The 26,660-nt window shown below is 44.5% G+C and overlaps 1 long non-coding RNA gene and 1 pseudogene across 4 annotated transcripts in view, besides 5 other annotated features; both read left to right on the top strand.

Moving 5' to 3' along the window:
* Positions 145-1,087: an enhancer, noted in NCBI's record as "NANOG-H3K27ac-H3K4me1 hESC enhancer chr19:12098284-12099226 (GRCh37/hg19 assembly coordinates)". NCBI's record gives its function as "activates a minimal SCP1, AML or CMV promoter by ChIP-STARR-seq in naive H9 embryonic stem cells {active_cell/tissue: H9 hESC(naive)}" and the evidence as "EXISTENCE:reporter gene assay evidence [ECO:0000049][PMID:30033119]".
* The window catches only part of ZNF433-AS1 (ZNF433 and ZNF878 antisense RNA 1), a 58,659-nt gene continuing 32,291 nt past the window's right edge, over positions 293-26,660 (top strand). For 2 of the 4 annotated variants that reach the window (NR_134928.1, NR_134927.1), the window contains exons 1-2: positions 293-499; positions 14,450-14,498. This is a non-coding gene — a long non-coding RNA (ZNF433 and ZNF878 antisense RNA 1). Of the gene's footprint in view, positions 500-14,449; positions 14,499-16,067; positions 16,488-26,660 lie in introns of those variants that run through there. The other 2 variants (NR_134930.1, NR_134929.1) reach the window with 2 other exon arrangements.
* Positions 407-496: an enhancer, noted in NCBI's record as "active region_14040". NCBI's record gives its function as "activates an Ori minimal core promoter by ATAC-STARR-seq in GM12878 lymphoblastoid cells {active_cell/tissue: GM12878}" and the evidence as "EXISTENCE:reporter gene assay evidence [ECO:0000049][PMID:35858748]".
* Positions 1,088-2,029: an enhancer, noted in NCBI's record as "NANOG-H3K27ac-H3K4me1 hESC enhancer chr19:12099227-12100168 (GRCh37/hg19 assembly coordinates)". NCBI's record gives its function as "activates a minimal SCP1, AML or CMV promoter by ChIP-STARR-seq in naive H9 embryonic stem cells {active_cell/tissue: H9 hESC(naive)}" and the evidence as "EXISTENCE:reporter gene assay evidence [ECO:0000049][PMID:30033119]".
* Positions 1,537-1,636: an enhancer, noted in NCBI's record as "active region_14041". NCBI's record gives its function as "activates an Ori minimal core promoter by ATAC-STARR-seq in GM12878 lymphoblastoid cells {active_cell/tissue: GM12878}" and the evidence as "EXISTENCE:reporter gene assay evidence [ECO:0000049][PMID:35858748]".
* Positions 9,485-9,592, top strand: RNA5SP464 (RNA, 5S ribosomal pseudogene 464; annotated as a pseudogene).
* Positions 13,370-13,419: an enhancer, noted in NCBI's record as "active region_14042". NCBI's record gives its function as "activates an Ori minimal core promoter by ATAC-STARR-seq in GM12878 lymphoblastoid cells {active_cell/tissue: GM12878}" and the evidence as "EXISTENCE:reporter gene assay evidence [ECO:0000049][PMID:35858748]".

A 26,660-nucleotide genomic window follows, 5' to 3' on the forward strand; every position in this document is an offset into this window, starting at 1 on the left:
GTCTGGAATTCCCTACACACATTTGTGACCCTGTGCAGGACGAAGGACCCCATTGAGTGAAAAAGACAACAGTGTCCCTTATAGCAGTTAGGAGCAAGTTTGGCTCAAATGCCAGTATCCGAAGAGCAGGGAGCTGAAAGTGAGCCCATTTAGGGAACCTGCGGCTGGAATAGCAGCGACCGGCTCTGCAGCGCCCTGTTACCCGGGGCTTCTGCTGTCACTCAGGGCTGAGGGGGCGGGGTAGGATGCCCTATCCAATCGGGGTGCTGGGGCGGGGCCCTGCCAACTGTTTAATCCGCCGGAAGGAGGGCGCAGCATTGCCGGTCTTCTCATTGCCTGGCTGCTAGAGGAAACCCGAAGTCGGGATTCTTTCTTTCCTGCTCTGAGAGGGACCAGGTCCCTCCTCCGTAGCTTTTGTCTCTCTATTGCCTGCGCCGTGTCCTGGACTGCTCACGGGAGTTCTGCAGGAGACGCCGGAATATCTGGAAGCTGAAAAATGGTGAGTGTGCGGAGCCGGAAACCCCGAGGTGGGTTTGGGGGTTAGGGGACGGTCTAGTCAGAACCGCGGAATCGGAACGCGGGCCTCCATGTTGCGACTCGGGGGTCTGAGGCCCGAGTTCCCCTGGCGCAGCTCAGCCCTGGGTCCCCTTGGCCTCAGGGTGGGTCTGGGCGGCAGTCGGGACCCCAGGCGTCCTGTCGTCCCTGCTCGGCGACTGGGACCCCTGCCCCGGAGCTCTCTCTGGGGAGCTCTGCGCCCGCAGCCGCGCGTCTCCCCAAATTGTGCGGAAGTCGTGGAGGGAATCCCGCCTCGTGTGTGGGGTTCCCAGTCGCACGTTTCTTCTGTTAAAAATTAAACTGAGACACTGTTAACAAGTAAAGAGTATTTTGGGTAAACAGCCAATCATGAAGGAGAAACACCGGGTCATGACTTGTTAACGGAAAAAAAAAACCAAACAGTAAAATAACTTAAAGAAGTTTTATTTTGACCTGGCGTGGTGGCTTACACCTGTAGTCCTAGCACTTTGGCTGGCCGAGATGGGTGGGTCACCTAAGGTCAGGAGTTTGAGACCAGCCTGGCCAACAAACCCTATGTAGGGTCCAGCCCTACTGGGCCTGTGGGTTTTTTTCCTCGTGTGCGGAGACAAGAGATCATAGAAATAAAGACACAAGACAAAGAGAAGAAAAGACAGCTAGGCCGGGGGGACCACTACCACCTAGGTGCGGAGACCGGTAGTGGCCCCGAATGCCTGGCTGCGCTGTTATTTATTGGATACAAGACAAGGGGGGAGGGTAAGGAGTGTGAGTCATCTCCAATGATAGGTAAGGTCATGCGAGTCACGTGTCCGCCAGACAGGGGGCCCTTCCCTATTTGGTAGCTAAGGCGGGGAGAGAGGACAGCTTATGTCATTATTTCTTCTATGCATTTCAAAGACTTTAGTACTTTCACTATTTCTGCTGCTGCTATCTAGAAGGCAGAGCCAGGTGTACAGGGTGGAATATGAAAGCGGACCAGGAGCGTGACCGCTGAAGCACAGCATCACAGGGAGATGGTCAGGCCTCCGGATGGCTGCGGGTGGGCCTGGCTGATGTCAGGCCTTCCCCGAGAGGTGGTGGAGCAGAGTCTTCTCTAACTCCCCCGGGGAAAGGGAGACTCTTTCCCAGTCTGCTAAGTAACGGGTGCCTTCCCAGGCGCTGGCGTTACCGCTAGACCAGGGAGCCCTCTAGTGGCCCCGTCCAGGCGTAACAGAGGGCTCACACTTGTCTTCTGGTCACTTCTTACCGTGTCCCTTCAGCTCCTATCTCTGTATGGCCATGTTTTTCCTAGGTTATAATTGTGGAAGAAATATAATTATAATATTGGAATAAAGAGCAATGCTACAAACTAATGATAATGATATTCATATATAATCATATCTATAATCTATTTCTAGTATAACTATTCTTTTTCTATATATTTTCTTTATTATACTGGAAACAGCTTGTGCCTTCGGTCTCTTGCCTTGGCACCTGGGTGGCTTGCCGCCGACATCTCCCCCGTTTTTATTGACTAGGATCGTCATCGCCATCATTGCTTGTCGCTGACTTCGGACTTGTCCTCGGACTCCTTGGAGACATCTGCAGACTAGAAGTAGACAACATAAACATACCAATATTAATAATGCCAGTGACAACAATGATCCTCCGAGGGGTTTGATCCATTTAAAGGGATTAAGATCAGACAATCTTTTAGTTATTCCCTCAAAAATGTCTGAGCCAGGGCAGTAGTTAAATGAGACTGTGAGGCCTCAAAAATTTGTTCTTTAAGTTTTGAAATATTTAAGGTTAAATTATCATCCTATTCTAAATGATGAGGTTATTGAACAATTATGAAAATGTTGCCTAGATGCTTGGGATAAGATTCAAGATGATGGCAAAGTATGTCCATCTTTTATGCCCGTCAGACAGGGACAACATGAACCCTATGCAGACTTCATTGCCCATCTTCAAGACGCAGTAGAAAAAGCTATCCCTGATAGCCATGGCCAATGACTTCTTGTAGAACTTATGGCTTATGATCAAGCAAATCCAGATTTCTTCTCCTTATCACTGTTTAGGAATGCAGCTAGAAGCTAGAAGACAAGAATTAAGCCCCACGATGGTCACTTCTCATCGTGTCCCTTCAGCTCCTATCTCTGTATGGCCTGGTTTTTCCCAGGTTATAATTGTAGAACAAAGATTATTATAATATTGGAGTGAAGAGCAATGCTACAAACTAATGATTAATGATATTCATATATAATCGTATCTATAATCTATTTCTAGTATATTCTTATTCTATATATTTTCTTTATTATACTGCAACAGCTTGTGCCCTCTGTCTCTTGCCTTGGCACCTGGGTGGCTTGCTGCCCACAACCCCGTGTCTAAAAATACAAAAATTAGCTGCGCATGGTGGTGGGTACCAGTAATCCCAGCTACTCCGGAGGCTGAGGCAGGAGGATCGCTTGAACCCGGGAGATGAAGGTTACAGTGTTATGAAAGACCTTGGCGGAGGGAAACAACCCCAGGAAGCCTCGAGTAAGTGGTCCCGAGGCAGCTCATGACAGTTTGGTTTTATTCATTTCAGGGAGACAGGAATTGCAGGGAAAATCATGACTTAGTGCTTGGAAGGTGTGAGTTCCTTTGGCCGAAAGGCGGGACTTGTGGTAATGGGGTTAGAAGGCACAGGTGGTTGAGGGATTCTGTGGGTGGCAGTTGGTTGAGAGTGTGAAGTTTTGGTCTAAAATTCAGAGGTGGATAAAAAGGAACAAACTAATGGCATTTGCAGCAACCTGGATGGAATTGGAGACTATTCTAAGTGAAGTAGCTCGTTAAAATGGAAAACCAAGCATCACTTATGTTCTCACTCATAAGTGGGAGCTAAGCTATGAGGATGCAAAGGCATAAGAATGATACAATGGACTGTGGGGACTGGGGAGGATGGGAAAGGGTGGGAAGGTGGGTGTGAGGGATAAAAGACTACACATTGGGCCGGGCATGGTGGCTCACGCCTGTAATCCCAGTACTTTGGGAGGCTGAGGCGGGCAGATCACCTGAGGTCAGGAGTTCGAGACCAGCCTGGCCAATATTGGGAAGCCCCGTCTCTACTAAAAATACAAGTGTTAGCTGGGTGTGGTGGCACGTGCCTGTAGTCCCAGTTACTCGGGAGGCTAAGACAGGAGAACTGCATGAACCCAGGAGGCACAGGTTGCAGTGAGTCGAGATCCTGCCACTGCACTCCAGCCTGGGCGACAGAGCGAGACTCCATCTCAAAAACCAACAAACAAAAAACCCAAAAACCGAAAGACTACAAATTGGGTTCAGTGTATACTGCTCCAGTGATGGGTGCACCAAAATTTCACAAATCACCACTAAAGAACTTACTCATGTAACCATATACCACCTGTTCCCCATAAACCTATGGAAATATGTATATATATGTATTTAAATTTTTAGAGGCGGTAGGAAGGAATGCTGTAGGAAGAGGGGCTGTTATTTGTCACATGATTCCATCCCTGCCCACGAAACAGGCCTGTGTCACCAGATTTTATGAATTCTGAGACATGAATTACCCTTTTCCTTAAGTCCCTTTAGATGGTGTTTGTAATTTCATGTCTTACTGCCACAGAATCTGTTTTGTGAGTCTGACGATGTCTAATGAACATGAATGTAGATCAGTTGCTGTGTATATATTCTAAAAGAGAGACAGTATAAGGAGGCTACTCCGATCTTCCCGTCACAGCGGGGAACTCCATTTTGAGAGTTTTTATTGGTGATCTTGGCCAAGAGCAGGTCAGTTCACTTAGTTGTTGGTGGGGGAGCTGCTTAATTTTGTTAACAGCTTATAGGTTGGAGGACAGGCTTTTATAATGTGAAAGGAAAATAAAACCTCAGGACCCCAATTTTTATACCAAAAGGAAAATATTAAGCTAAAAGCTGAGTCAAGCAAGAAGTTGCCTTTCTTTTTGTTGCTAAGTGAATAGCTACAGATAAAAAGTTATATATCTTGGACTGGGCACAGTGGCTTACGCCTGTAATCTCAGAACTCTGGGAGGCTGAGGCAGGCGGATCACTAGATCAGGAGTTCGAGACCAGCCTGACCAAAATGGAGAAACCCTGTCTCTACTAAAAATACAAAACTTAGCCAGGCATGGTGGCCTGTGCCTGTAATCTCAGCTAATCAGGAAGCTGAGGCAGGAGAATCACTTGAACCTGGGAGGCAGAAGTTGCAGTGAGCCACGATCGAGTCACTGCACTCCAGCCTGGGTGACAGAGCGAGACTGCATCTAAAAAAAAAAAAAAAAAAAGTTATATATCTCCACAGGAAACTGTGTATCTCAAGTAAAGTGTTGATTTACTGGGTGAGACACAAATACCTAACTGACTATTCTCTTGCCTGCTTCTTTCCTGTTGCAGTATGTGGATTACATACTAACCCTCCCTCTTACCTATCCAGCACACTTTTCCCCTTTATATATTGAAGTCCTCAAAATTGTCCTTGGAGAAAGTCACAGACTGTTGCTGTGATTCCGTGTTGATTTCTTCTGGGTCTATTCTTAACCTTGGGAAAATAAACTTCTAAGTTGATCCAGAAGCATCTCCAATATTTTTGGTTTACAATATGTTGCATGAGGAGCCAAACCATATTAAATACTAGATTGTTTACAGTGATGCAGTTGCCTTCTTTGGACTTGTCAACTTGAAGTAGTTGAAAAGATCAGATTCCAGTTTTGAAGCATTTATTCAAGTAGTAAGCTGAGAATGGCCTATTTGGGAAAACACAGACTCCAGAGAAATGGCTCAGTGCTCTGAAGTCAGATGTTAAATTCTTCCCTATATAGGCAAAAGGCAAAGAAATTGAACAGGATTACATTTTCCATAGAAGGCTGATGTATGAGGTACAACAATTTAATTTGTTACAGTTTGCTTTTTTTCTCCTAGGCCTTTATTTTCTTGACAGCTGATTTTCATTTCCTTCCCAATTTAAAAGAATGAGTTTGGCCAGGTGCAGTGGCTCATGCCTGTAATCCTAGCACTTTGGGAGGCCATGGTGGGTGGATTGCCTTAGCTCAGGAGTTTGAGACCAGCCTGGGCAACACGATGAAGCCCCATCTCTACTAAAATACAAAATTAGCTGGCTGTGGCGACGTGCACCTGTAATCCCAGTTACTTGGGATGTTGTGGGAAATAAAGGACTAGAGAGACTGATACAAGGAACGGGAGAATTGTTCATTTAAGGTACGCACCGGCTCAGTGGATTCACATCTAAAAAGCTGAGCACTGAACAAAGACTGAGCGAGGTTTTCATAAGCAAACTTACAGAAGCAAAATAAAAGTAATCATACAGTGATAGGTCACGTAATCTATAGCATAGCATAACTTGTGGCCTTGCATAGCTGGTGGCCTTGTAGCTGCATTTAAAGAAAAACAAGAACTGACTAAATACAGACTTCTTTCCTTTTTTTTTTTTCCTTCACCTTCGTTCTGGAGGGGGGATGTCTGGAACCTATTCTTTTGGCTTTGACTTCTCAAACAGCATTATAACTGTCTTTGAAGTGAGCTTGCTAGGCAGAGGAAAACTTGTTCTTTTCTTTTTAACCTTTGCCTTGCCTGTTACTTTTCTTGGAGTGAATGAATGCATATTTATTTTTTAAATTTCTGGCTTAGGGAGGCTAAGGTAGGAGAATTGCTTGAACCCAGGAGGTTGCAGTGAGCCGAGATCGTGTTATTGCACTCCAGCCTGGGTAACAGAGCAAGAGTTGGTCTCAAAAAAAAAAAAAAAAAAGAGTGAGTTGAACATTCCAGCTTAAGACAGTGTGATAGCCATGAAGTCTTTGTGTGAGAAAGGGTAAGATGAAAGTTCATCTACAATGGAGATCAAGAGTGAAGAGGGAAGGGGTCTTCCCTGGCTCCCTTCAACATTTACATGTCAACATTGACATAATTTTATGAAACAATATGGGTAAGAATGAAGACAAAAAGGCAAATCCACAGTCTGGGAAAGGAAAGTTCCAGCTGCCTGTCATGTGACTCAATGCCACCTTAATCACATTGCTTTAAGGCTCAAGATAATTTAGAGATGGAACAGCTCACATTTTTGGCTTTAGTTTCACAGACTGTACAGGTAGAAAATGTTCTGGTTATGTAATCAGGTTAATTGGGGGATTTTGGTTGGTTAAGCCTAAATTTCATTTCCCTATAAATTATTATTTTATCAGAATTGTATTTGAGTTGTATTTCAGGGTCCTTAGGTAGGTCCTAGGGCACTACACACAGTTCAGTCTTACTGTTTCTCATTTATTTATTTATTTATTGTTTTTTTGAGACAGGGTTTTGCTCACTGCAACATCTGCCTCCTGGGCTCTGGGTGCGAGCAGTCCTCCCACCTCAGCCTCCTGAGTAGCCAGGACTGCAGGCATGCACCATCACACCTGACTTAATTGTTGTATTTTTTGTAGATGCCAGGTTGTCCAGTCTAGTCTCAAAATCCTGAGCTCAAGTGATCCATCAGCCTCTGTGTCTCACCCAAAGTGCTGGGATTACAGGCGTGAGCCACAGTGCATCGCCTCATTTAATTTTTTTTTTTTTTTTTTTTTTTTTTTTTTTGAGACTGAGCCTAGCTCTGTTGCCCAGGCTGGAGTACAGTGGTGTGATCTCGGCTCACTGCAACCTCCGCCTCCCGAGTTCAAGTGATTCTTCGGCCTCAGCCTCTCTAGTAGCTGGGATTACAGGCACACACCACCACGCCCCACTAGTTTTTGTATTTTTAATAGAGACTGGGTTTCACCATGTTGGCCAGGCTGGTCAAGAACTCCTGACCTCAAGTGATCCAACCACCTCGGCCTCCCAAAGTGCTGGGATTACAGGCGTGAGACACCGCGCCCGGCCTATTTAAATTTTTTAGCACTCGCCTTGGGGACTGGTTTCCCCCACATTTTCCAAATAGATTGGATGCAGTGTCTGCTATTCTCCACCCTGTGTCCGAGGCTAACTCTTCAAGGGCTTGCAGTAGAAATCCTAAATGTTCAGTTTCTCTCCCGCGTTTCCAACATCAACTCCATTCTCCAGTTCACAATATTATCAACTATTTCTTCTTTATAGTACAACATTGTATTTATTCATCCCGTTTAAAACAGATGCAGTGTATTTTAATTGTTTATTATTTTATCACAGAGCAATAGATGATTCTTTTTAAAGTATTTGTTTGCTATTTCTGAAAATTTCACATGAGAAGAAGGCAGAGAAAAATCACCACACATCTCAGTGAACAAAACCTTTGTGCCTCTCCTTTTATTTTTCCTAGGCACAGACATCAGGATGTCTTTGGGTTGAGGTTCCTTTTTGGAAACTTTACAGAATGATCTGTCTTCCGTTCCCCCTCCAATTTTTCCTGGTCCTGGGTTTCAGAACTGCCTAGGCTGAGCCAAGATACCCACCACTGCCATGTCTCTTGGAGGGCCTAGTACATATCAGCCCCTGAGTCATACCTCCCAGAGCACAGCCTGAAGTAGAGGAGTGGGGCCTCCCAAGGGAGTAGCTGAATGCCTTGTGGTGGGAGGAGACTCCTGGTATAATCTTCATCTAGATAACCAATCCCCTTGGGGTGCTCAGCTTTTCTCCCTCAACCCCAGTTTCCATTATTTGGAGATACATGGCTGGTCAGCCAATTGGATTTTGCTCCTGAGAGGAAAGAGAAATGATTCCTGTCCTCTGGATTGTCTCAGAAATGTAAAGAAAGAAAACTTTTTTTTTTTTTTGCCTTTCCCATGCATACTGAGGGAGAAAACTCAAAACGTGTGGGAGAAAACAAAACAAACAGAAAAAGTTGGTGCAAAAGTAATTGAAAAGTAATTGTGCTTTTTGCATTGTTGAAATTTGCTGTTTGATATTGGAATACATTCTTTTTTTTTTTTTTTTTTTTTTTTTTTTTTTTTTTTTTTTTTTTGAGACAGAGTCTCGCTCTGTCGCCCAGGCTGGAGTGCAGTGGTGCAATCTTGGCTGACTGCAAGCTCCGCCTCTCGGGTTCACACCATTCTCCTGCCTCAGCCTCCCGAGTAGCTGGGACTACAGGCGCCCAACACCACGCCTGGCTAATTTTTTTGTATTTTTAGTAGAGATGGGGTTTCACTGTGTTAGCCAGGATGGTCTTGATCTCCTGACCTTGTGATCCGCTGCGTCGGCTTCCCAAAGTGCTGGGATTACAGGCGTGAGCCACTGCACCTAGCCTTCTTCTTTTTTTTGACAGAGTCTTGCTCTGTTGCCCAGGGGCATGATCTCTGCTCACTGCAACCTCTGCCTCCCAGGTTCAAGTGATTATCATGCTTCAGCCTCCTGAGTAGCTGGGATTACAGGCATGCACCATCATTGCCAGCTAATTTTTGTATTTTTAGTAGATTTGGGGTTTCACCATGTTGGCCAGGCTGGTCTCCAACACCTGACCTCAAGTGATTCTCCCACCTTGGCCTCCCAAAGTGCTGGGATTACAAGTGTGAGCCACTACACCTGGCGCCAAAAATCTTAATGATCTTGGACTTAGGAAAAAGATTCTATGACATGACACCAGGAGCCCTAGGATCAGAGAACAAGTATGTCATTTAGACTACATCAGAATTTAAAACTTTTGTGCATCTGGCCAGGAATGGTGGCTCACACCTGTAATCCCAGCACTTTGGGATGCATAGGTGGGTGGATCATGAGGTCAGGAGTTCAAGACCAGCCTGGCCAACACGGTGAAACACCGTCTCTACTACAAATAGAAAAATTAGCTGAGCGTGGTGTCACGCGCCTGTAATCCCAGCTACTCAGGAGACTGAGGCAGGAGAATCGCTTGAACCCAGGAGGTGGAGGTTGTAGTGAGCCAAGATCACGCCACTGCACTCCAGCCGCGGCAACGGAGCAAGACTCCGTCTAAAAACAAAAACAAAAAACTTTTGTGCTTCAAAAAACACCATCAAGAAATTGAAGCCTGTGTGGCCATGCCACCCTAAACGCATCTGTTTGGCATAGCTAAGCGGGATTGGGCCTGGTTAGTAAATGGATGGAGAATGCCTGGGAATACTGGGTGCTATATGCTTTGAAAAAAAGAAGAAGAAGAGGGTGGGGAATTTGACAAGAGAATTCCCCAAATGAGAGAAAACCTTCCATATTGAAAATCTGGTCATTCCCCTTCATGACATAGGGTAGAGGCTGTATTGGTAGCCAGCACTCTGAGGCATCGTGGCCCATTACTGCAGGAAATGAACTCTACCCCGCAGTTCTCTCTGGCAGTGGTGTGCCCACAGTCCCCCAGTCTCTCCCAGTTTATGGGGTGACAACAAAGTGGTCATCCGGAGAGAAATCTGACCTTGTGTTTGGATTTGTGAGTACAGACACTCTTCAGGACACCCTCCTTCCTCCCCAAAGAAAGGAAGCTTTTTATCACCAACCATTCCAGTCATAGGAAGCAGGGTCTGAAGTCTAAGTCCTTATTCCATGCAAAGGGAGATTGCACTGAAAACTTGTTAAAAATGTCAAGGAAGGCTTCATTCAACACAATTGCAATATGTGTCAGGAGAACTGTAATATGGGAAAGAGATTGAACTCAATCTGGAATGCATCAAGAGAATTATAGCTAAAGAGTAGGGTGAGGGAGAGGATGGAATTTGGTTAGGTGTCAAGAGTTGGGAGACTGATTAATTATCATAGATGGGGGAAATGGAACTTGATTAGATACCAAGTTTGAGGGCATTCTAAGCTCTAAGTCTGGTCAAGAAGAGGGTTCTGAGGAGCCTGACTCAACTTTGGTCAAGGAAGGAGTCCTTGAGATTCCCCCAGCCTAGTTCTTGCTAGGGCTGATGATAAATCCTTAAATTTCTGGTTTCCTCCCCACGTTCCAGAACACCCATTTCTTCTCTCTAGTGGACATTATCAACTATGTGTCCCCAGTGATACATTTGAAACTGCTGCAATATTGTTTATTTTTTGACAGAGCAATAAGTGGCTCTGTGTAAGTTTGAGACAGTCTCCCTCTGTCGCCCAGGCTGGAGTGCAGTGGTGCAATCTTGGCTCACTGCAACCTCCACCTCCTGGGTTCAAGCTGGTATCCTGCCTCAGCCTCCTGAGTAGCTGGATTACCTATGTATGCCACCACACTGGGCTAATTTTTTGTATTTTTAGTAGAGACAGGGTTTCACCATGCTGGCCAGGCTGGTCTTGAACTCATGACTTCAAGTGATCCACCCGCCTCAGCCTCCCAAAGTGCTGGAATTTACAGGTGTGAGCCACCGCACCTGACCTCTGTGTAAATTTTTAAATTTTGTTTATAAATATTTTTCATGAGTGGAAAACACTCAATAACCACTCAACTACATTGTGTAAATCCTTGTGCCTAATGACTCCTGATGTCGACCATCTTTCGCGTGCTTACTAGCCATTTGTATGTATCTTGCAGAAGTGTTATTCAGATACTTTCCCATCTTTTAAGGAATCAGTATTTTTTTTTTTTTTTTTTTTTTTTTTTTTTTTTTTTTTTGGTGAGACAGAGATTTACTCTTGTTGCCCAGGCTGGAGTGCAATGGCGCGATCTCGGCTCACCGCATCCTCCGCCTCACAGGTTCAAGCGATTCTCCTGCCTCAGCCTCCTGAATAGCTGGGATTACAGGCATGTGTCACCACGTCCGGCTAATTTTGTATTTTTAGTAGAGACGGGGTTTCACCGTGTTGCCCAGGCTGATCTCGAACTCCTGACCTCAGGTAATCCACCCGCCTCCGCCTCCCAAAGTGCTGGGATTACAGGCATGAGCCACTGCGCCCGGCCAGGAATTAGTTTTTTACTTGGTACAATAATTCATTATAGTTAAGTATTGTAAGAAATCTTAAAATGTACCAGCTGAAGGAATTTTACATGTACAGTTAAGATAGTTTGACAAATCTACTTCTCTAAGATGAATAATACTGTATTTTTATTTTTGTGACTGGCTTTTTGCGATTAGTATACCATTGCTTATACCATGGAACAGGATGTTATTTTCTAAGGCTAAATAATATTCCATTGTATGTATATGCTTACCACATTTTGGTTATCCGTTCAGCCATCAATGGACATTGATGGATTGATCCACCTCTTGGCTATTGTGAATCATGGTTTTCAAATATCTCTTCAAGATCCAGTTTTCAATTTATTTGAATTGAATAAAAATAGACCTGGAAGGCCGGGCGCAATGGCTCATGCCTGTAATCCCAGCACTTTGGGAGGCCGAGGCGGGCGGATCATGAGATCAGGAGATCGAGACCATCCTGGCTAACATGGTGAAACCCTGTCTCTACTAAAAATACAAAAAATTAGCCAGGGGTGGTGGCGGGTGCCTGTAGTCCCAGCCACTTGGGAGGCTGAGGCAGGAGAATCGCTTGAACCCGGGAGGCGGAGCTTGCAGTGAGTCACAGTGAGCCAAGATCGCACCATTGCACTCCAGCCTGGGCGACAGAACGAGACTCCGTCTCAAAAAAAAGGACCTGGAAATGGGTTGCTGGAGGATAACATTTTTTAAATTAGCTTTTGAGTACCACCATACTGTTTTCCATAGAGGTTGAACCATTTTACATTCCTTTGGACAGAACACATGAGTTCCAGTTTTTCAACATTCTTTCCAAAACTTTATATTTGGGGTGTTTGAATTTTTTTCTTTGTAGTTGAGTGTAGGAGTTGATTATATTTTCTGAATATTAAGACCTTGCCAGATGCATGACTTGCTTATATTTGCTCCAATGTCATGGTGATACCGACGTGTTGGGAAGGGAAGAGCGTGGTCCCTTTAAATAATACAGAAGTGGGTAAGGGAAGTGCTGGGTAGAGGAGGGTGTGATCCCTGGCTAGGGCTCCACCCCCACAGACCTAGGTGAGGACAGTTATTTCCTGCCCAAATGTTGCATTTCCCAAGACCACCCTGGCCCACCATGCCCCATTCTGGGCCTATAAAAACCCCAGACCCTAGTGGGCAGACACACAAGCAGCTGGTTGTCAAGAGGAGCACGCCAGCAGAAGAGCACACTGATAGGCACTGGCACACCAGCAGGCCATCAGCTGGCGGATGAGGCAGTCCATCAACTGGCGGGGCTGGTGGGACAAGGCAGAGTTTGGCTGAGCCAGGGCCGTTGAGCAGCCCAGCTCCCAGGAAGACCATCTCGCTTCTGGCTCCCCTATCACTTCCACTCAATAAAACTATTCACTCATTCTCCAAGCCCACGTGTGATCTGATTCTTCTGGTACACTAAGGCAAGAACCCGGGATACAGAAAGCCCTCTGTCCTTGCGACAAGGTAGAGGGTCTCATTGAGCTCATTAACACAAGCTGCCTATAGGCAAACTAAAAGACCACCTGTAACACACGCCCCCCACTGGGGCTTCAGGAGCTGTAAACATTCACCCCTTGACACTGCTGTGGGGCTCCACTGCTGTGGGGTCGGAGCCCCACAGCCTGCCCATCTGTATGCTCCCCTAGAGGTTTGAGCAACGGGGCACTGTAGAAGCAAGTCACACCCCATTGCACACCTGCTAGGGGAACAAGGGAAACTTTCCCTTTTCGGTAGGGTGCCTTTTCCCTCTGTTTGTAGTGTCGTCTCATGGGCAAAAGTTTTAAATTTTGATAAACATTTGCTTTTTGTTAAGACTGAGCTCCCTGGAGGTTTTACCTCTGAACCTTGTCCCCATTCAGCCTTCAGCAGTTCATCAATTACAATTTAAGTTTTTCTACCACAATACTGTTTCTCACAAAGGTTTCTGCTCTTCAGTTTTTGATTTAGTTAGTTATGACTCATCAATTAGGTTGGTTGAGTCCCTTGCAAAAATCGAGTTGTGGTTTTTTTTGTTTTTTCTTTCTGCTAATTGAGTCAGAACAAATTCTCCCTTTCAGGTATCCTCAATGGTTAAACTTTGTGAACAGGCATTTTCAAGGAAACACACTCTCAGGACTGCTAATGTTAACATTTTTCTGCATATGAATTCAGAGGACTTTGTTATGACAGGCGCTGTAGACACACACTACAGACAGACATTAGGGACAGCCCAGGCAGCGTGCTTTTCTTTCTGGATTCACTGAAAAGACATTTCCTGTTCTGCTGTTGGTATTGCTTAGTTCAGTTTTAGCATCAGAATCGCTTTATGGAAGAAAGTGGGTATACACCAAGTGATAACCAAGTCATGGAATAAATGTCTGGAGTCCACAGCATCATGGGAACTTCTTAGGAATAGAGTCTAGGCCCCCAGTGCTGTCAGTCTCACCCATCCTCCTTTACATGTGTGAGATGTTTTAGGACTCAGTGGTCTTTGAGGATGTAGATGTGAGCTTCACCCAGGAGGAGTGGGCTTTGCTGGATCCTTCCCAGAAGAATCTCTACAGAGATGTGATGCAGGAAACCTTCGGGAACCTGTCCTCTATAGGTGAGGGTGACAATATTACTTCCTTCCTTCAGCGAATTAGAAAACATGGTTTTTTTTGTTTTTTTTTTTTGAGACGGAGTCTTGCTCTGTCGCCCAGGCTGGAGTGCAGTGGCGCAATCTCGGCTCACTGCAAGCTCCGCCTCCTGAGTTCATGTCATTCTCCTGCCTTAGCCTCCCGAGTAGCGGGGACTACAGGCGCCCGCCACCGTGCCTGGCTAATTTTTGTATTTTTAGTAGAGACAGGGTTTCATTGTGTTAGCCAGGATGGTCTCGATCTCCTGACCTCGTGATCCGCCCCCCTCGGCCTCCCAAAGTGCTGGGATTACAGGCGTGAGCCATCGCACCCGGCCGAGAACGTGTTTTTAGCTCATTAATGCTGTTCCACGATTTGGAAATATGGACAGGGAATATGTCAGTGAATAAATGAGGCACGGATGCAGTGTACCATGAACATAGAATATTATTTTTATTATAGCTTTATACTAATTAAGACTATTTTCCTGGTTCTGTATTTTAGGAAATAAATGGAAAGACCAGAATATTGAAGATCACTACAGAAATCTAAGGTAATTTACACTTACAAAATGAAGCAATGTCTTTCTAGAAAATCTTAGAATGTGAGACTATGTTTAAAAAAAAAAAAAAAGGCTGGGCGCGGTGGCTCACAGCGCATTTTGGGAGGCTGAGGCAGGCGGATCACAAGGTCAGGAGATCGAGACCATCCTAACACGGTGAAACCCCGTCTCTACTAAAAATTAGCAGGGCATGGTGGCACGTGCCTGTAGTCTCAGCTACTCGGGAGGCTGAGGCAGGAGAATTGCCTGAACCTGGGAGCAGAGGTTGCAGTGAGCCGAGATCTCGCCATCGCACTCCAGCCCGGGCGACAGAGTGAGACTCTGTCTCACAAAAAAAATAAGAAAAGCAAATGAAGGAAATAAGCCCAGCATCAAATTTGTTTATTTATTAGAATAATAATTATTTTTTCTTTCTGAGACAGAGTTTCACTGTTGCCCAGGCTGGAGTGCAGTGGCATGATCTCGGCTCACTGCAACCTCTGCTTCCCAGATTAAAGCAATTCTTGTGCCTCAGCCTCCTGAGTGGCTGGGATTACAGGAGGGCGCTACCACCCCTGGCTAATTTTTGTATTTTTAGTAGAGACAGGGTTTCATCACCTTGGCCAGGCTGGTCTTAAACTCCTGGCCTGAAGTGATCTGCCTACCTCGGCCTCCCAAAGTGCTGGGATTACAGGCATTAGCCGCCGCGCCTGGCCACTTTTTCTTTTTCTTTTTCTTTTTTTTTTTTTTTTTTGAGATGGAGTCTTGCTCTGTCGCTCAGGCTGGAGTGCGATGGCCCAATCTCGATCTCCTGACCCTGTTGATCTGCCTGCCTTGGCCTCCCAAAGTGCCGGATTACAGGCGTGAGCCATCGCGCCTGGCTGCCACATTTATTTATTCTTAACACATTTTATCTAAAATCCTATATTTCAGTGTGACATAAACTGGGCACAGTGGGTCACACCTGTAATCCAACTATTTGGAGGTAGAGGTGGAAGGATTGCTAGAGGCCTGGAGTTTGAGAACAGCCTGGGCAAAACAGCAAGACTTCATAACAACAAAGAAGTAGCTAGACGCTGTGGCATGTACCTGTAGTTCTAGCTGCTCAGGAGGCTGAGTCAGAATCACTTCAGCCCAGGAGTTTGAGGCTGCTGTAAACCACAGTGATGCCACTACACTCCAGCCTGGGCAACAGGATGACCCCCATTCAAGAAAAATGATAGAGGTTTAGTATTTGTAAAGTACTCTATGGGAAAATAGTATTAAGAATTTCCAGGCCAGGCACAGTGGCTCATGCATGTAATCCCAGCACTTTGGGAGGCCAAGGTGAGTGGATCACGAGGTCAGGAGTTCGAGACCAGCCTGGCCAGTATGGTGAAACCCCGTCTCTACTAAAAATGTAAAAATTAGCCGGGCATGGTGGTACTCAGCTGTAGTCCCAGCTACTTGGGAGGCTGAGGCACAGCCTCAATCTTGAACCCGGGAGGCGGAGGTTGCAGTGAGCCGTGCGTGCCACTGCACTCCAGCCTGGTCAACAGAGCGAGACTTTGTATTAAAAAAAAAAAAAAAATTTCTATATAGGGTCAGGCATGGTGGCTCACACCTGTAATCCCAGCACTTTGGGAAGCAGAGGCAGTTGGATCACTTGAACCTGGGAGGCGTTCTGGAGGTCAGGAGTTCGAGACCAGCTTGGCCAACATGGTGAAACCCTGTGTCTGCTAAAAATACAAAAATTAGCCGGGCCTCATGGCACATGCCTGTAATCCCAGCTACTCTGGAGGCTGAAGCAGGAGAATCGCTTGAACCTGGGAGGCGGAGGTTGCAGTGAGCCGAGATCACGCCACTGCTTCTTGCTTTAAAAGAAGAGTAAAGACAAGAGTGTTGGACCAGTATTGCAGTTCTGTAGTATCATTTCTTATAAAAAACAAAACAACAATAATTTATCAAAATTGGCATATAAAGACTGACAACATTCTAATAAAGGCACAAATTTCTTTTTAATACTTGTTTCAGGCTCTTTATTCTCTTTATAAGTTAACTAATCTATTTTCTTCAAACTTCTGCATTAGTTCTTTAAAATCACAACACTTAGCAAGCTGACTTTTTTAATGTGCTCAATACAAATACTTGTGAACTTTTAATATGTTGAGTGCTTTCATTGTGATAACTGGATCTCCATTTGATATTTTCATTTATATAACTCATTTGCAGTCTGAAAATTTTTAGTGCCAGTCCCTGAATATATCATTGAAAGTTAATTTTCTTTGCATTTTAAAATATCTGGATTATGAAGAAAAAGTGATGAAAATAAATTAAAACTGAATTACCTTAAAAAAAAACAAAAAAAAAAGACCAAGCGTGGTGGCTCATGCTTGTAATCCCAGCACTTTGGGAGACTGAGGCGGGCAGATCACCTGAGGTCAGGAGTTCCAGACCAGCCTGACCCACATGGTGAAATCCCATCTCTACTAAAAATACAAAAGTAGCCAGGCGTGGTAGCGTGCACCTGTAATCCCAGCTACTTGGGAGGCTGAGGCAGGAGAATTGCTTGACCCTGGGAAGTGGAGGTTCCAGTGAGCCAAGATCATGCCACTGCGCTGTAGCCTGGGCAATGAGAGTGAAACTCTGTCTCAAAAAAAAAAAAAAAAAAAAAAAAAAAAAAGAATGTCACTTTCTGACAGGCCCAGGAGCCTCAAGTTATCTTGGGACCTTGACAGGAGGAAAATTCACTCAACTCATACAGGTATTTGCAGGCATAGATAAGTCTGTGGCTGGGCTTCAAGGCTTTAAAAAGTACAATCTGAGATTCCTTAGTGAACAAAGTTTCAGCAAAGCCAATTTTTAAAAAGAGTTTAGTCTCAGAACTAGGAAATTGGCTAAAAAGATATGGGACAAGATATTTAAATTTGCCTTTTTCTGTCTATCCCAATCTAACAACCTCTGACCCAAATCTCTTGCTGCTAATGACCCCATGTCTGATTGGTTTTCAGAGCTGCTTTTTTTTTTTTTTTTTTTTTATACTTTAAGTTTTAGGGTACATGTGCACATTGTGCAGGTTAGTTACATACATATACATGTGCCATGCTGGTGTGCTGCACCCACTAACTCGTCATCTAGCATTAGGTATATCCCCCAGTGCTATCCCTCCCCCCTCCCCCCACCCCACAACAGTCCCCAGAGTGTGATGTTCCCCTTCCTGTGTCCATGTGTTCTCATTGTTCAGTTCCCACCTATGAGTGAGAATATGCGGTGTTTGGTTTTTTGTTCTTGTGATAGTTTACTGAGAATGATGGTTTCCAATTTCATCCATGTCCCTACAAAGGACATGAACTCATCATTTTTTTATGGCTGCATAGTATTCCATGGTGTATATGTGCCACATTTTCTTAATCCAGTCTATCATTGGTGGACATTTGGGTTGGTTCCAAGTCTTTGCTATTGTGAATAATGCTGCAATAAACATGCATGTGTCTTTATAGCAGCATGATTTATAGTCCTTTGGGTATATACCCAGTAATGGGATGGCTGGGTCAAATGGTATTTCTAGTTCTAGATCCCTGAGGAATCGCCACACTGACTTCCACAATGGTTGAACTAGTTTACAGTCCCACCAACAGTGTAAAAGTGTTCCTATTTCTCCACATCCTCTCCAGCACCTGTTGTTTCCTGACTTTTTAATGATTGCCATTCTAACTGGCGTGAGATGGTATCTCATTGTGGTTTTGATTTGCATTTCTCTGATGGCCAGTGATGGTGAGCATTTTTTCATGTGTTTTTTGGCTGCATAAATGTCTTCTTTTGAGAAGTGTCTGTTCATGTCCTTTGCCCACTTTTTGATGGGGTTGTTTGTTTTTTTCTTGTAAATTTGTTTGAGTTCATTGTAGATTCTGGATATTAGCCCTTTGTCAGATGCATAGGTTGCGAAAATTTTCTCCCATTTTGTAGGTTGCCTGTTCACTCTGATGGTAGTTTCTTTTGCTGTGCAGAAGCTCTTCAGTTTAATTAGATCCCATTTGTCAATTTTGGCTTTTGTTGCCATTGCTTTTGGTGTTTTAGACATGAAGTCCTTGCCCATGCCTATGTCCTGAATGGTAATGCCTAGGTTTTCTTCTAGGGTTTTTATGGTTTTAGGGCAAACGTTTAAGTCTTTAATCCATCTTGAATTGATTTTTGTATAAGGTGTAAGGAAGGGATCCAGTTTCAGCTTTCTACATATGGCTAGCCAGTTTTCCCAGCACCATTTATTAAATAGGGAATCCTTTCCCCATTGCTTGTTTTTCTCAGGTTTGTCAAAGATCAGATAGTTGTAGATATGTGGCATTATTTCTGAGGGCTCTGTTCTGTTCCATTGATCTATATCTCTGTTTTGGTAACTGTAGCCTTGTAGTATAGTTTGAAGTCAGGTAGTGTGATGCCTCCAGCTTTGTTCTTTTGGCTCAGGATTGACTTGGCGGTGCGGGCTCTTTTTCGGTTCCATATGAACTTTAAAGTAGTTTTTTCCAATTCTGTGAAGAAAGGCATTGGTAGCTTGATGGGGATCGCATTGAATCTGTAAATTACCTTGGGCAGTATGGCCATTTTCACGATATTGATTCTTCCTACCCATGTGCATGTAATGCTCTTCCATTTGTTTGTATCCTCTTTTATTTCCTTGAGCAGCGGTTTGTAGTTCTCCTTGAAGAGGTCCTTCACATCCCTTGTAAGTTGGATTCCTAGGTATTTTATTCTCTTTGAAGCAATTGTGAATGGGAGTTCACTCATGATTTGGCTCTCTGTTTGTCTGTTGTTGGTGTATAGGAATGCTTGTGATTTTTGCACATTGATTTTGTATCCTGAGACTTTGCTGAAGTTGCTTATCAGCTTAAGGAGATTTTGGGCTGAGATGATAGGGTTTTCTAAATATACAATCATGTCATCTGCAAACAGGGACAATTTGACTTCCTCTTTTCCTACTTGAATACCCTTTAGTTCTTTGTCCTTCCTGATTGCCCTGGCCAGAACTTCCAACACTATGTTGAATAGGAGTGGTGAGAGAGGGCATCCCTGTCTTGTGCCAGTTTTCAAAGGGAATGCTTCCAGTTTTTGCCCATTCAGTATGATATTGGCTGTGGGTTTGTCATAGATAGCTCTTATTATTTTGAAATATGTCCCATCAATACCTAATTTATTGAGAGTTTTTAGCATGAAAGGTTGTTGAATTTTGTCAAAGGCCTTTTCTGCATCTATTGAGATAATCATGTGGTTTTTGTCTTTGGCTCTGTTTATATGCTGGATTACATTTATTGATTTGCATATATTGAACCAGCCTTGCATCCCAGGGATGAAGCCCACTTGATCATGGTGGATAAGCTTTTTGATGTGCTGCTGGATTCGGTTTGCCAGTATTTTATTGAGGATTTTTGCATCAATGTTCATCAAGGATATTGGTCTAAAATTCTCTTTTTTGGTTGTGTCTCTGCCCAGCTTTGGTATCAGAATGATGCTGGCCTCATAAAATGAGTTAGGGAGGATTCCCTCTTTTTCTATTGATTGGAATAGTTTCAGAAGGAATGGTACCAGTTCCTCCTTGTACCTCTGGTAGAGTTCGGCTGTGAATCCATCTGGTCCTGGACTCTTTTTGGTTGGTAAGCTATTGATTATTGCCACAATTTCAGAGCCTGTTATTGGTCTATTCAGAGATTCAACTTCTTCCTGGTTTAGTCTTGGGAGAGTGTATGTGTCAAGGAATTTATCCATTTCTTCTAGATTTTCTAGTTTATTTGCGTAGAGGTGTTTGTAGTATTCTCTGATGGTAGTTTGTATTTCTGTGGGATCGGTGGTGATATCCCCTTTATCATTTTTTATTGCGTCTATTTGATTCTTCTCTCTTTTTTTCTTTATTAGTCTTGCTAGCGGTCTATCAATTTTGTTGATCCTTTCAAAAAACCAGCTCCTGGATTCATTAATTTTTTGAAGGGTTTTTTGTGTCTCTATTTCTTTAAGTTCTGCTCTGATTTTAGTTATTTCTTGCCTTCTGCTAGCTTTTGAATGTGTTTGCTCTTGCTTTTCTAGTTCTTTTAATTGTGATGTTAGGGTGTCAATTTTACATCTTTCCTGCTTTCTCTTGTGGGCATTTAGTGCTATAAATTTCCCTCTACACACTGCTTTGAATGCGTCCCAGAGATTCTGGTATGTTGTGTCTTTGTTCTTGTTGGTTTCAAAGAACATCTTTATTTCTGCCTTCATTTCGTTATATACCCAGTAGTCATTCAGGAGCAGGTTGTTCAGTTTCCATGTAGTTGAGCAGTTTTGAGTGAGATTCTTAATCCTGAGTTCTAGTTTGATTGCACTGTGGTCTGAGAGATAGTTTGTTATAATTTCTGTTCTTTTACATTTGCTGAGGAGAGCTTTACTTCCAAGTATGTGGTCAATTTTGGAATAGGTATGGTGTGGTGCTGAAAAAAATGTATATTCTGTTGATTTGGGGTGGTGAGTTCTGTAGATGTCTATTAGGTCTGCTTGGTGCAGAGCTGAGTTCAATTCCTGGGTATCCTTGTTGACTTTCTGTCTCATTGATCTGTCTAATGTTGACAGTGGGGTGTTAAAGTCTCCCATTATTAATGTGTGGGAGTCTAAGTCTCTTTGTAGGTCACTCAGGACTTGCTTAATGAATCTGGGTGCTCCTGTATTGGGTGCATATATATTTAGGATAGTTAGCTCTTCTTGTTGAATTGATCCCTTTACCATTATGTAATGGCCTTCTTTGTCTCTTTTGATCTTTGTTGGTTTAAAGTCTGTTTTATCAGAGACTAGGATTGCAACCCCTGCTTTTTTTTTTTTCCATTTTCTTGGTAGATCTTCCTCCATCCTTTTATTTTGAGCCTATGTGTGTCTCTGCACATGAGATGGGTTTCCTGAATACAGCACACTGATGGGTCTTGACTCTTTATCCAATTTGCCAGTCTGTGTCTTTTAATTGGAGCATTTAGTCCATTTACATTTAAAGTTAATAGTGTTATGTGCGAATTTGATCCTGTCATTATGATGTTAGCTGGTTATTTTGCTCGTTAGTTGATGCAGTTTCTTCCTAGTCTCGATGGTCTTTACATTTTGGCATGATTTTGCAGCGGCTGGTACCGGTTGTTCCTTTCCATGTTTAGTGCTTCCTTCAGGAGCTCTTTTACAGCAGGCCTGGTGGTGACAAAATCTCTCAGCATTTGCTTGTCTGTAAAGTATTTTATTTCTCCTTCACTTATGAAGCTTAGTTTGGCTGGATATGAAATTCTGGGTTGAAAATTCTTTTCTTTAAGAATGTTGAATATTGGCCCCCACTCTCTTCTGGCTTGTAGGGTTTCTGCCGAGAGATCTGCTGTTAGTCTGATGGGCTTCCCTTTGAGGTTAACCCGACCTTTCTCTCTGGCTGCCCTTGACATTTTTTCCTTCATTTCAGCTTTGGTGAATCTGACAATTATGTGTCTTGGAGTTGCTCTTCTCGAGGAGTATCTTTGTGGCTTTCTCTGTATTTCCTGAATCTGAACGTTGGCCTGCCTTGCTAGATTGGGGAAATTCTCCTGGATAATATCCTGCAGAGTGTTTTCCAACTTGGTTCCATTCTCCCCATCACTTTCAGGTACACCAATCAGACGTAGATTTGGTCTTTTCACATAGTCCCATATTTCTTGGAGGCTTTGCTCGTTTCTTTTTATTCTTTTTTCTCTAAACTTTCCTTCTCGGTTCATTTCATTCATTTCATCTTCCATTGCTGATACCCTTTCTTCCAGTTGATCGCATCGGCTCCTGAGGCTTCTGCATTCTTCACGTAGTTCTCGAGCCTTGGTTTTCAGCTCCATCAGCTCCTTTAAGCACTTCTCTGTATTGGTTATTCTAGTTATACATTATTCTAAATTTTTTTCAAAGTTTTCAACTTCTTTGCCTTTGGTTTGAATGTCCTCCCGTAGCTCAGAGTAATTTGATCGTCTGAAGCTTTCTTCTCTCAGCTCGTCAAAGTCATTCTCCGTCCAGCTTTGTTCCGTTGCTGGTGAGGAGCTGCGTTCCTTTGGAGGAGGAGAGGCGCTCTGATTTTTAGAGTTTCCAGTTTTTCTGTTCTGTTTTTTCCCCATCTTTGTGGTTTTATCTACTTTTGGTCTTTGATGCTGGTGATGTACAGATGGGTTTTTGGTGTGGATGTCCTTTTTGTTTGTTAGTTTTCCTTCTAACAGACAGGACCCTCAGCTGCAGGTCTGGTGGAGTACCCTGCAGTGTGAGGTGTCAGTGTGCCCCTGCTGGAGGGTGCCTCCCAGTTAGGCTGCTCGGGGGTCAGGGGTCAGGGACCCACTTGAGGGGGCAGTCTGCCTGTTCTCAGATCTCCAGCTGCGTACTGGGAGAACCACTGCTCTCTTCAAAGCTGTCAGACAGGGACATTTAAGTCTGCAGAGGTTATTGCTGTCTTTTTGTTTGTCTGTGCCCTGCCCCCAGAGGTGGAGCCTACAGAGGCAGGCAGGCCTCCTTGAGCTGTGGTGGGCTCCACCCAGTTCGAGCTTCCCGGCTGCTTTGTTTACCTAAGCAAGCCTGGGCAATGGTGGGCGCCCCTCCCCCAGCCTTGCTGCCGCCTTGCAGTTTGATCTCAGACTGCTGTGCTAGCAATCAGCGAGACTCCATCGGGTAGGACCCTCCGAGCCAGGTGCGGGATATAATCTCGTGGTGCGCCATTTTTTAAGCCTGTCGGAAAAGCGCAGTATTCCGGTGGGAGTGACCCGATTTTCCAGGTGCCGTCCGTCACCCCTTTCTTTGATTAGGAAAGGGAACTCCCTGACCCCTTGCGCTTCCTGAGTGAGGCAATGCCTCGCCCTGCTTCGGCTCGTGCACGGTGCACACACCCACTGACCTGCGCCCACTGTCTGGCACTTCCTAGTGAGATGAACCCGGTACCTCAGATGGAAATGCAGAAATCACCCGTCTTCTGCGTCGCTCACGCTGGGAGCTGTAGACCAGAGCTGTTCCTATTCGGCCGTCTTGGCTCCTCCTCCTTTTTTTTTAAGATTGAGTTTTGCTCTTGTTGCCCAGACTGGACTGGAGTACAGTGGCGGGGTCTCAGCTCACTGCAACCTCTGCCTCCTGGGTTCAAGTGATTCTCCTGCCTCAGCTTCCTGAGTAGCTCCAATTACAGGCACCCGCCACCACACCCAGATAATATTTTGTATTTTTAGTAGAGATGGGGTTTTATTATGTTGGCTAGGCTGGTCTCGAACTCCTGACCTCAGGTGATCCACCCACCTTGGTCTCCCAAAGTGCTGGGATTACAGGCGTGAGCCACCATGCCTGGCCGGTTCTCAGGGCTTTTTACCTGTATCCCTCAGAGCTTAAGATCAATTCTACAAAGGCTTCTGAAGCTAAGACTTTCACTCTTTATCCTGGGACTCATTATTTACCTTATAGTTCACTGTTCTGTGCTAAAACTATAGTATGCTGTTTGCATAAATATTAATACTGTACTAAAACTATAGATGAGAATACTAATGCCTTTGTCATGCAAGCCTTCGAACCCCAACCCAGCCTATGTGAGCATGCTCAGATGGCTGCAAAGTGGTTCCACTCACACTTTGGGGTAAGCACCTACCCCCACTACATCCCCTGTCAGCAGGAAGAAGTTAAAGTGGTCTTCATCCTTTTTCCATCCTTATAGCCCACACCTTAAGAATAAGGTGTTATGAAACCCAAAGGGAGAGATTGAAACTACCTTTACAAAAATTATAAATGAGACAGTTAGTACAGTGAAAAGAGATCTGACGTGACTCCACCTTACTTTTTTTTTTTTTTTTTGAGACAGAGTCTTACTCTGTCGCCAGGGCTGGAGTGCAGTGGTATGATCTCAGCTCACTGCAACCTCTGCCTCCCAAGTTCAAGAGATTCTCCTGCCTCAGCCTCCCAAGTAGCTGAGAATACAGGCACCCGCCACTAAGCCCAGCTGATTTTTTGTATTTTTAGTAGAGGCGGGGTTTCACCATGTTGGCCAGGCTGGTCTCGAACTCCTGACCTCGTGATTTGCCCACCTCAGCCTCCCAAAGTGCTGGGATTACAGGCGTGAGCCACCACACCCGGCCGGCTCCATCTTGCTTCTAACCTCCAAGCTGTCCTTGTTCATTCCTGGGCATAGGCCAAACTAACCTTGGGAGGGAATTTAGCTTATAGTTTAACTCTGAAACGAAATTGAAGATAGCCCTTCCCCCTCCGCCCCCCAAAAAATTTTGCTCTTGGACTGTTGGCATATTTCTGAATGCTTTCAGGTCCCAGTGTAATCCCAGCACTTTGCGAGGCCTAGCCAGAAAGATCACGTTAGCTCAGGAGTTCCAAACCAGTTTAGGCAACATAGGGAGTCCTCATCTCTACAAAAAAAAAAATAATAAAATTAGCCAGGAGTGGTGGTGAATACCTGTAGTCTCAGCTACTGGGGAGGTTGAAGTGAGAGGATCGCTTGAGCCCAGGAGTTGGAGGCTACAGTGAGCCATGATGGCATCACTGTACTCCAGCCTGGGCAACAGAGTGAGATCTTTCCCAAACACACAACAAACAAAGCATAACAGTTTTTTATTTTTTTGAGACACAGTTTCACTCTTTTTGCCCAGGCTGGAATGCAGTGGCGTGATCTTGGCTCACTGCAACCTTCACCTCCTGGGTTCAAGTGATTCTCCTACCTCAGCCGCCCTAGTAGCTGGGATTACACGTGCACGCCACCACACCTGGCTAATTTGGTATTTTTAGTAGAGATGGGGTTTCACCATGTTGGCCAGGCTGGTCTCAAACTTCTGACCTCAGGTGATCCACCTGCCTCAGCCTCCCCACGCACTGGGATTACAGGCATGATCCACCGTGCCTTCGGGGAGGCCAGGATTTGAACCTTTATCTTCCTGGTCCTTCTTGCCTAGGGCTCAGCAGTAAAAGCCTTTCTTTCTAGCCCATCAAACCTCAGTGTAAATATCTAGTTTTCCTGGGCAACATGAGTGGACCTCAGTTCTGTTCTACTTTTTTTTTTTTTTTTTTTTTTGAGCAAGACACTCAGTCACCCAGGCTGGAGTGAAATGACACAATCACAGCTCACTGCAACCTCCACCTCCTGGGTTCAAGGAATTCTTGTGCCTCATCCTCCTGAGTAGCTGAGGCTACAGGTGTCTGCCACTATGCCCAGCTAATTTTTTTTTTGTATTTTTAATAGAGATGGGGTTTCATCATGTTGCCCAGGCTGCCTCCTGAGCTCAGGCAATCCACCCAGGTTGGCCTCTCAGTGTGCTAAGATTATAGGCATGAGCCACCGCACCTGACCCACATTTCTTTATAATAGTGAATTTCTTTATAATTGTGAATTCCAGTATGCTTTGGCGAAAAGGGTTTTTTTTTTTTGTTTTTTTTTTTTGAGAAGGAGTCTTGCTCTGTCGCCCGGGCTGGAGTGCAGTTGCGTGATCTTGGCTCACTACAAGCTCCACCTCCCAGGTTCACGCAATTCTGCTGCCTCAGCCTCCCAAATAGCTGGGACTACAGGTGCCTGCCATCATGCCCGGCTAATTTTTTTGTATTTTTTTTTAGTAGAGATGGGGTTTCATCATGTTAGCCAGCATGGTCTTGATCTCCTGACCTCGTGATCCACCCATCTCGGCCTCCCAAAGTGTTGGGATTACAGGTGTGAGCCACCGTGCCCACCCCGGTAAAGGGTCTTAAAATGTATCTTCCCTTGCTGCAGAAGCTATTTTGAAGTGCCATATTTTTCATTAAGCATTAAGTAGAGAACATCAGGATAAATTAGTAGGATCATCAGTATTACATGAAACATTAGATTGCTGAATGAATTGCATAATTTAACTAGAAACACTTTATTCTCAAGTAGAAAAGTTGTTTGCTTTGGAGAATTTAATCATCTGTTACTTGTTCATAAATATTCCCCCGAAGGGCTCTGACCTCTCCCTCCAGTGTGAGCCTAATTCCTAAAACTGAATAATTATTTGCTGCTGCCTGTTTCACAAACACACATGGATGGGTCAGATGTGTCTCCTTTTCCTCAACCTTATATGAAGGAAGGAGCATCTGAGCACAGCACAGAAATGATCCAAACCAAGCTACTGTGAAGTGTAAAGAGAGCAGCATGGCTTTTCCAAACAGGACAGCATCACAAACCCTCCCAAGGGTACAAGGAGAGCAGTTAGAACA

The sequence above is a fragment of the Homo sapiens genome, chromosome 19, assembly GCF_000001405.40.
Source record: "Homo sapiens chromosome 19, GRCh38.p14 Primary Assembly".
Classification (NCBI taxonomy): domain Eukaryota; kingdom Metazoa; phylum Chordata; class Mammalia; order Primates; family Hominidae; genus Homo; species Homo sapiens.